This window comes from Homo sapiens, chromosome 4 (genome assembly GCF_000001405.40).
Source record: "Homo sapiens chromosome 4, GRCh38.p14 Primary Assembly".
NCBI classification, from domain to species: Eukaryota; Metazoa; Chordata; class Mammalia; order Primates; family Hominidae; genus Homo; species Homo sapiens.
Genome location: NC_000004.12, coordinates 115,731,243 through 115,741,830, shown reverse-complemented (window position 1 = coordinate 115,741,830; position 10,588 = coordinate 115,731,243).

The following is a 10,588-nucleotide window of genomic DNA, read 5'->3' as shown; positions in this document are numbered from 1 at the left end:
ACTTTCTGTTTATTGATGTATCTCAAATATCTTAAACAGAGCATTACACATCCTAATTTCCCCAAAAATATTTGTTCAATGAATGACACTAATTAATTAGAGAAGAGAATGATAAACCAGATGGGATTAAAAAAACAGAAAAGAAAAAAATGCATCATTGAAAATATCCATGTTTTCAAGAGTTCTTAGTCTACAGACGATAAAAACTCATTAATTTTCTGTAAGCACTTATTATGTAGTTAATTTTAATACTCTTTAAAGTAAAAAGTAAGATAATTTATATGAAGGTGATAAAACGGTAAAGCTATTTTTCCTATTATTTTCAAGTTTTTAATTAGGCTTTGTTAAGCTTCCATTTTATTAATAGTCAAATTTTTATTCATTAACCTAATAACTTTTGTTTCTTATATAATAAATTATAAATACAAATTACATATTATTATTATTACTACTAGTGATATCTATCAAATATTTTGGTCTGTGCAAAATTGTTGATGCAGCATTACTAGCTTACTAATTTATATATTATTTGTTTTCTTTGTCTAATACTTATCAAGTCAGATATTTTCTTATTTCTCTTCACAATGCAAATTATGTTAATTTAATCTAATAATTTTGGACTTTGCATTTATTTGGTGATTTTGAACATTTCTCTACAGAAGAATTTTCTTCATGTTTATTTTTATTTCAGCACATTTCATTTTGAGCTGTAAACATTTGAGATATACAGCTCAACAGCTGCTCCTCACTTCGTTTAACATTTTGTTTCATGGCTCTTGTTTCACATCTTACTGGTTTTTAAATTATTTTGCTATTCCTTGGGAACATCTGGTATTCTTTCTTTTCACTTCTTTAAATGTATTCATTTGTCTGAGCAACAGCTTCTGTAGGTTTGGAATACAATCAACTCTAAAGTTGACTTTAATTTTGAAAACAGTATTTTGGAAACTACACTTATTTATAATTAAATGTGCTTTAGAAAGTTACTTCACATTCTGGGAAAGAAAAAAAACAGGATTGCAGGAGGTATTACTATTATTATTATGCAGTGATATGTATTAAAGATAAATAGTGATGACATTCTATTTCTTTTAAATTTCTCAAATAGAAAATGTATTAGTAATAGCTTTTAAATATAGTTGTTCAAAGCACAGAAGAGATTTTGAATGTTCCCAACACAAAGAAATACTTAGTGTTTGCGATGACAAATATCCCAATTATCCTGATTTAATCATTGCATATTGTATACATTTATCAAAACATCATGTGCCCCATAAATATGCAACAATTATGTATCAGCAAAATATTTAAAAATTCCAAATGTATACTTGGGTTTTTCTATTTTGTTGTATTGATTATACATAGAATTTCAGTAATATTTTTAATGTTAAAATAGTATAAGTTATTTGAAATACTACTTAACTTTAACCTGTTTAAGTAGCTATAGAAAGCTTTACTCTTAATTCTACTTGTATTCATCAGTGGAAATAATAACCTTAGGATTATATTCTTTAATAATCAAGAGATATTTTGAACATATAATATACTCAACACTAAAGTACTAGATTTACATAGAATAGAAAATAAATAAGACTTATTCCTACTATTAGTGATGTTAACATCTATCTGAAGAAGGAATTAATATGGATTTTAAATTATTTGTAAATTCAAAATCACTGAGAGAATAAAGACACAAATTGTCCAGTAAATGTTTGAAGAGGTCATAGAGAATGAGGGACTCTACTGGAGTGAAGACTAAGTCACATTAATATATGTAGCAAAAAGACTTAAGGCAGGGAAGATGTGTTTATCTTGTACCTATTGATCTAAATTGTTGATTAAATATTTCCATGAAAGTGTTCATCTTAGGGTTGTGACCTGGCTAGTGAGTATGTTGTAGTGACAGATATGCATAAACATGTATTACTGCAATATAGGGAGAGAGAGTTTCATCTCATATTGTACACCTTAAAAAATTAATTTGATTTTGTAAATTTAACTATTTATTACTCCTTTTCACTTTATTTGATTCCTCCATTTTTAAAAATAAAATGGTGATACAATAAGAAAATTGTGGTTTTGATAAAATTTTATAATAAATGCTATTAAAATAAATTAAAATATACTAATTTAATTACAATCAAAATACATGTATTATTAAAGTAAACTAATAATTTATGGCTTTAGAATATCAAGATTTTTTCAAAATTTTATATATTTTATAATTTTTACAAAATTAACACTAATATATGCAATGAGCAATGATGTTTGCAAATTTCCATTTATGCCTACTGCATGTTCAGTGTTTTAAATATTTTTATCATACATTTTAAAAGATTTTAAAGAAAGGAAGCAATGAAAATAAGTTTTGAACAACTTAAGTCAAAACGAAAAGTCTCAAGCATTTTAAATATATTTATCTTTTATATTTATTTACTTTCCATCATTATTAATACATTATTTTAATGTTGGAATATCATCAGGAAAATCATCATCTGGATTTGGGTAATATAATTATTCCCTAGTATTTCTTTTAACATACCTTGATAGTTATTCTCCTCTTCAGACTAAATACCTTATTTGAATGATAAACGTATTTAATAAAGAAGTAATACCACTTTTGTCATATAAAAGTGTTAATGCATATGTGTTGGCTTTTGGTTTCTATATTACATTTTATAAGTCTATTTTCTATCCCTTTATTACTGCTATACTGTCTTACACAACATTACTTCATAATTTTTGACATCTGATAGAGTAAGTCTAGGCACTATGTTTTCCTTCATGAGTATCGTGACTATTCCTTGATCTTTTGTTTGTGATTGAAATGACCTTAAAAATAATTTGAAAAAAATTCTATTTTTCACTGGGCTATACTTGAAAATTTAAAACATGATATATACATATTTAAGTATAATATATCTCAATAAAGCTTTACATATATATAAATATAAAACTTGCAATCTTTTGTTAAACTTCTTCTACCATAATTATATCCAGATATTATTGAACATGATCTGTAATTTCCAGCTACCTGGTGCTGGCAGAAAGTAAATCAATTGCATTGTATGCATTGTTTTGGTATCTAGCCACCATTCTAAGTTTCTTTATTGTTCTCCAATTTCATGTACATTCTTTTAGCATTCAAAGACACCGTTATTATACTTTATTTATATTTTTGAATATTTATCATTTTAAATAGATTAGGTCAAATGACACAAAGAGCGTTGGTCCAAGATGGCCTCATCATGGCTCACAGAAGTTACATTTCTTCAGTTTTAAAATGTATAGAGAAAATAGCATTCATTTAGCAGAATTCTGACAGTAAGTGTCCTGACCCACAGAAAGAGATAAACCACGATGCAAAGGACCAACTGGAAGCTGAGTTTCCTCCAAGGTTACATAAGAAGTGGCAGAAATTAATGCCAATATCAAAGCTTTAAAAGATGTAGTAAGGATGAAGATTCCTACAACATGCCTATTTGACAGGTGCAAAAGACAGATGGAGCAGATGACAACAGACTTAATCAAGTGATGATACCAATTGTTGCTATTTTCCTACAGTAGCATTTTTCCTGGGACACTGAACATCTCTGACACGTTGCGCAGCTATTGATGAGAAAAAATGCTTTCTTTTCCATTCAAAAATGGAAGTCAAAATGAGTTTTCTTGAAGTTAAACAGGAAACATATTACTTTTACTCACCTGCCTAAAGGGTAACTTTAGAGAAATTACACATGCACATGCCACATGTGTTTGGAAATGCTGCTGTGTCCCATTTACCTAGTAATTGGTATCACTACAGTTTTCTCTTGAGAAGCACAGCAAGAACAGGCCTGCCATCTTTATCATTTTAACTTTTGACATAGCAGACACGATATACCCAGAGCTTTAGCTGGGATAATCTGAGGAATCCCCAGCAAGCTTCAAAAGGGAAATCATAAGGCAATAGAAACAATGGCTGATCATAAAATAGCAAAAGATGTGATGCGAATTTCTCAGCATGAACCAGTATTGCTTGATTCATTTAAACATATGATCTATGTGTGCAGCAGCATTTTATTATAAATTAAAAGTAATATATAAGAAGCCAATATATTGTGGAAGATATAGTTAAAATTCTTGAATAGGTGGCTTAGACTTCCATGGCATCTGTTTCTTCTGCTTTGCTGCTCTGTGTCTCATCTCATATAGATGACATCACTGAGAATGTTCTATTTCCATTTGGCAACTGAATCTGTTATCACACTCTTTTCTATAAAATATATTCATGAATGTTAGTGAGTTTTAGGGTAATGAAATATACATTAGAGAGAATTACTAGCACAGGTGTACACATTTGCTGGAACCCATCATATCATATATTTAAAATTTCACTTTATTGAATGAAAATTTTACCTATAAAAGAACCATAAACAAATATTAGATGACTGCTAATACTATGAATGTTGAAACATTTAGATGTAAATATACTGGGACATACAATTTTCTTTGAATTTCTTCAAAAATAAGGTGAATTAATAACTGGAAATAGGAACGGATGGGTATGTAATAAAACAAGTAAAGTAAAAACGATGGTTTTATATTAGAGCAGAGGAAAGAAGTATATTTGTTTTGCTGTAAAATTCTTTCAACTTTCCCTGAAAATTTTCAAAATTCACCTTTGGAAAAAATACAATAGTGGCAGGAAATCCTTTCTTTAGACAAAACTTTGTGTTGTATCTAGAAGTATATCACAATTTTTTTTGTTAAGTCAAGGCTTGAGAAATGCACCTATACTTACTGGACACATGGGCAATGACAAGTGAGTTAGGTTGGTATGCGGAGATGTGGATAAAATAAAATTTACAACCCCATGGAATGTAGGGGAGAGACAGCTCAAAATGGGCATACTGTGTGTATACATTCATATTCCATTTAAATACTCAGAAGAGGACATCTGCAGAGAAGTTTTGCCGTAATCAAGTAAAAAGGTAACTGGTACTATGCATACCATTCATGTTTGCTTCTAGCTACCCAAGTATCGCTAGTGATTCCATTGACAAGTGTTACTCACGCCACATTTCCTTTGACTGAAAGATATACTTTATTACAAAAAAAGAAATAAAGAAATTGCTGATGATATTACATATACAGTGCCCACTTGCGAACCAAAGTTTCGAAGCTTTGAAGCTTTGAACAGTTCTAGAAGGTGGATTATTGTCTTAAGCTAGCAGCTAACTAATTCAGGTTTCATTTTATGCTGGAAAATTGGATATAATAGCAGCTGTTCTTATACTGTTTAATGCCATCCCCCTTCTTTACCATCACCAATTTGTAAAAAGAACTCCAGTGTTGCTTAGAGTATGACTGATTTTATATCACTCTATGATGATATGACAATGGATATAAATTAGCAAATTCCTTTTATGATGGTATTTTTTTAACCTGACAAGAGTAAATATTGAGAGGAAAGTAAAACTGATTGTGCTGAACCTCCTCTATTTACCCATCCAGAATCATCTTTCCCTTTTCTTCACTCTCTTGTCTGACCTAGGAGACAGACCTCTTTGAACAGTATCAATAGACTCCATTGACCTTTAGTTATTTTGTAGCATTTAGCTACTGAGAGTCCTTTTGAAATATAAGCACGGTGACAAATAAGGTCAGGCAATTCATTTTCAAGCTCTTTCCTAAAGTTTTCCCTCTAGCTGACTCTGACCTTTGACCAAAAGTTAGAGTCACCCTCTTCACATAACTTCTAATTCTACATTCCAGTGATTACTTCTTATATTCCTCCCTTTTTTACTCAGAGGTGGTTACAACCATGGATAGTTGTGTAAACCCATGTATTTCTGATCATTGTAAATAATTCCTTTATTAAAAATTGTTGAGATTTGCTTGAACATGCCAACAGTTACTTGCTGGTAGTTAAGGACACTAATTTATTTACAACCCTTCCCAAATTAAATTTAAGCAAAAATCACAGGGTCAAAAAGTAATATCACATATTGTTAAAAGAAAAACAGATCAAAATTATATTTTCATCTTGAACATATAAGAACCGCAAAATTCTGCCTTATCAGTTATAAAGCAAAAATTAAAAGAATTACAGACTTCAATAGATTAATCAGCATTGTAGATGAGGATTTTCCTTTAATATTTTAAGATACTACTATATCAATGAGAATTAAATAGAAATAGAAATACAAAGGATTCAATATTACATTTAATAACACTTGTTCAATAATTTAAAAACTCTACACACCAAAAGCACAGAATACACATTATATTTACATTAATCAATCACAAAAATAAATCATGTTCAAAGATAAAGTGTAAACCCAAATAATACCAAAGAAACATCAACAAAAATATTATATTGTCATATCACAATGAATTAAAGTTAAATATAAAATAACAATTAGAAATGATTAATATCTGCAAAAGCTTAGTATTTACTATGTGTGATTTTTTTTCTATGACTTTTATATACATCAACTCTGTAAATATTCAGAAAAATATTTTGTGCTAAGTAATTTTATGACCACCATTTTCTTTCAAATAGGTTTAATAGTTTATCTATGGTGCAGCAGTAGAACCTCAAAATCCACGCTCATATGATTGCTCAACTGAAAAACACAGCAAAACTAACAGAAAAACTTATACTTAAAAACATTTGTGGAAAAGTTAGAACTTCTATAGATAAAATAAGCTGCAGTATTAAAAGATATTTACAATAAAATAATAATTTCATTACATTTCCAAAAACGTGAGTATGGTTGGACTAGTACTAGAAAGAAATTCAGAACTTTTAAAACCAGTATTTAGTCACTCATTATCAAATGTTTATTGAGCAAATTCCATGTGCTATGCAATGTTATTCATTGCAAAATGAAAAGGGATACATGAATATACTTATTATGCAACTCAAGGAGATAGATAAACATGAGAAGCACAAACATAAGCAAAAATAAGGGACCAATAAATCTATTGTTAGAAGTCAATTGAAAATAGCTATAAAGGTAATAAAACTAATTACAATGACAGGCCAGGCATGGTGGCTCACACCTGTAATCCCAGCAGTTTGGGCAGCCGAGGTGGGTGGATTACCTGAGGTCAGGAGTTCGAGACCAGCCTGGTCAACATGGCGAATCCCTGTCTCTACTAAAAATACAAAAATTAGCCAGGTGTGGTGGCACACACCTGTAGTTCCAGCTACTCGGGATGCTGAGGCAGAATTGCTTGAATCCAGGAGGCGGAGGTTGTAGGGAGCCAAGATCATGCCATTGCACTCCAGCCTGGGTGACAGAGCAAAACTCAGTCTCAAAAACAAACAAACAAAAACACACACAAACTCTAGAGGCATAACAGGGTTAACAGAAACTTAAAACCTTACTATATATGAAAACACATGAGATTAATTTGAAATTTCAGATACTATTCCAGGAAATGTATTTAACAGGTGAATACAATATACCATGTCTTCGATTTTTAATTAAAAAGTTCCATAATGACAGCAATTAGTGATAAGTGCCCTTACAACGCTAAAGAAGAGCTGCAGGTGAAACTTATTCAAGAATGGGTGAACTACTAATGCAACAATCACCTCATCATTTTCTGCTAGTCTCTATCAAGAAAAGACTAAAAACTCAAAAAGAAATAGAGTAACATTTAATATATAATAATGAACAAGCTTTGGCTTAGTTTTGTGTGTGCTGACATTTTTCCACTGCTCTTGAAATGAAACCCACTCTTTTACTTAAGAAAAGAGAGAGCAGCTTCAAGAGACCAAGTGATAAGTCTAAGTCTGCAAGAAATGGAGACTCTGGTGGATTCTTTAAGGAAAGAGAGAGCAGCTACTAGAGACCTAGTGTTAAGTCTTAAATCTACAAGAAATGGAGACTGTGGTGGATTCCCCCATCTGGACACTTGCTGAGTAGCAGGAAGTCCTAAGCCCACCTCAGAGCTATTGTCAACATGAAGTTGAGAGTTCACAAAGAGCTTGAGAAGTACATTCCACGGTTTGTACACATGATAACATGCATTCATGTTATCTGCTCTCTGCTGTCTGGATCTCATCTTGAGAATTCTGTGCAGAGGATACTGCTTGGGGGAGCCATAGATGTCAGGATGAAGAAAGGGCAGAAGTAGGTAGCCTGTGCTAACAATGTTTGGCATACATTGCACAATGTGGCATATGCTATACATTTTCTGTGTACCAATTGGAACTTGAAGAAGTAAAGAGACTTGGGCAATCTTGATCAGTACCTGATAAAAAGGTGCAGCCTGCCTGTGGTGCAAGACCTCAGAAATAATTACCTGTTTTCTGACCAATAATTTAGGAGGCTAAAAGCAAAGAGTGTATCCCGAGACAGTTAATGTTCTTTGGTAGCCTCTGAAGAACTCACACCTACATCCCAAAAGGGAGTCAGCATTTATTATTTGAAATTATTTGAAAGTATAACATGATACATTAAAAAATTATATAATAAACCCTAAAATGACAACTAAAATTTACAGAAAAATGTACTAGTAAGCCAGTAATAGAGAGAAAATGGAATCATAAAAATCTTCAATTTTACAAAGGCAGGGAAATAGGAAAAAAGGATATAAGAACAAACAAGAAAAACAAAAAATAACTAGATTTAGTGGCAAAAAAAGCTACCAAAATCAAGTATTTTTATAGTACTTTATAGTACCATGAAATCAAGTATTTTATAGTACTTTGTATTCATAAGAACATTTTGAGAGAGAACATGGTGGATATTTTACACCAGGCAAGTACTTACTGAAAGAGAGCCACCAGGGTAGCTACATTAAGTTAAATTACTATTTAAAGAAAAAACACTACTATACTCGGTTTTTAAGGAAGTTACTATATAAAATGGGGAAGAATTAACCACTACTCTATAAAACTAATAATTGAAGAATTTAAAATAATAGTATGAACCCAGAAGATTTGAAAACCAAAATTAGCATATTTAATTGAGTGAATACATGAGCGTGTGCAGGAGGGCACTCACCCGAGCACACACACATACACACACACACAATTTTTACAGTCAACAATTAGAGAATATCCATTTCTTTAAGTTCACATAGCCATAACAAAACTTATTCTCCATGATGAAGACACCATAATTTGTAATGCAAATGTCATCATGTCTTTTTATTATCTACAAACCTGAAAAACACTAGTTTCTTCAGGTTAAAATAAATATTTTTGTTTATTTTATCAAGCAATTTTGTGTATTTATCCAAGCAATTCTGCCTCAGCCTCCCGAGTAACTGGGACTACAGGCGTATGCCACCACGACTGGCTAATTTTTGTATTTTTAGTAGAGATGGGGTTTCGCCATGTTAACCAGGCTGGTCTCGAACTCCTGACCTCAGGTAATCCACCCACCTCAGCCGCCCAAACTGCTGGGATTACAGGCATGAGCCACCACGCCTGGCTTGTCATTGTAATTAGCTCTATTACCTTTATACTATTTTCAATTGACTTCTAACAATAGATTTATTGGTCCCTTATTTATGTTGGTGCTTCTCATGTTTATCTCCTTGAGTTGCATAATAAGTATGGTCACGTATCCCTCTTCATTTTGCAATGAATAACATTGCATAGCACATGGAATTTGCTCAATAAACATTTGATAATGAGTGACTTAATACTGGTTTTAAAAGTTCTGAATTTCTTTCTAGTACTAGTCCAACCATACCCACCTTTTTGGAAATGTAATGAAATTATCCACAATCGTTTGAATATACTTCAAGACCTAGACTCTGTTTTCTTTTTTTTTTTTTTTTTTTTTTTTTTATTTGAGACAGAGTTTTGCTCTTGTTGCCCAGGCTGGAGTGCAATGGCGTGATCACGGCTCACCACAACCCCTTCTTCCCGGGTTCAAGGGATTCTCCTGCCTCAGCCTCCCGAGTAGTTGGGATTACAGGCATGCGCCACCACGCCCGTCTAATTATGTATTTTTAGTAGACACAGGGTTTCACCATGTTGGTCTCAAACTCCCGAACTCATATGATCTGCCCGCCTCAGCCTCGCAAAGTAATGGGATTACTGGCATGAGCCACCACGCCTGGTCTAGACTCTGATTTTATCTTCACTCTTCACTCCTGTTTTGTCACACTTCTGACAGTTGTGGACTTTTGTTTTCTTGAACATAAAGTTTTCTCTTTAGACTCTGTTACTATAAATTCACTGTCTCCTCAGTCTGGAAACCTCCCTCCTCAGGGTTCTAACACACCAACTCCTGTTCACGCTTTACAGTTCTTCTTAGATGCTATTCTTCAGGAAGGCTTTCTTGACAAGCAGTTAAGGTCAAATGTCGTTTTGTATCCTCAAGACATCCTACTTCCACTTTTTCATTTACATATACTCTGTAATTACTTTAATGGTTTTTATTTCCCCCACTAGGTTCATTAAAGGTTAATATTATATTTGCTAAATTTATTGTTATATCCATTGTTCTTAATATGTATAGTAATTAGCATATAATAGACACAAAATGTTTACAACTAATAAAAACTCACACTGGTATTATCTAAGCCATATACTACATAAAAATAAATATAGTTAAAATTTCTAAAACTTACT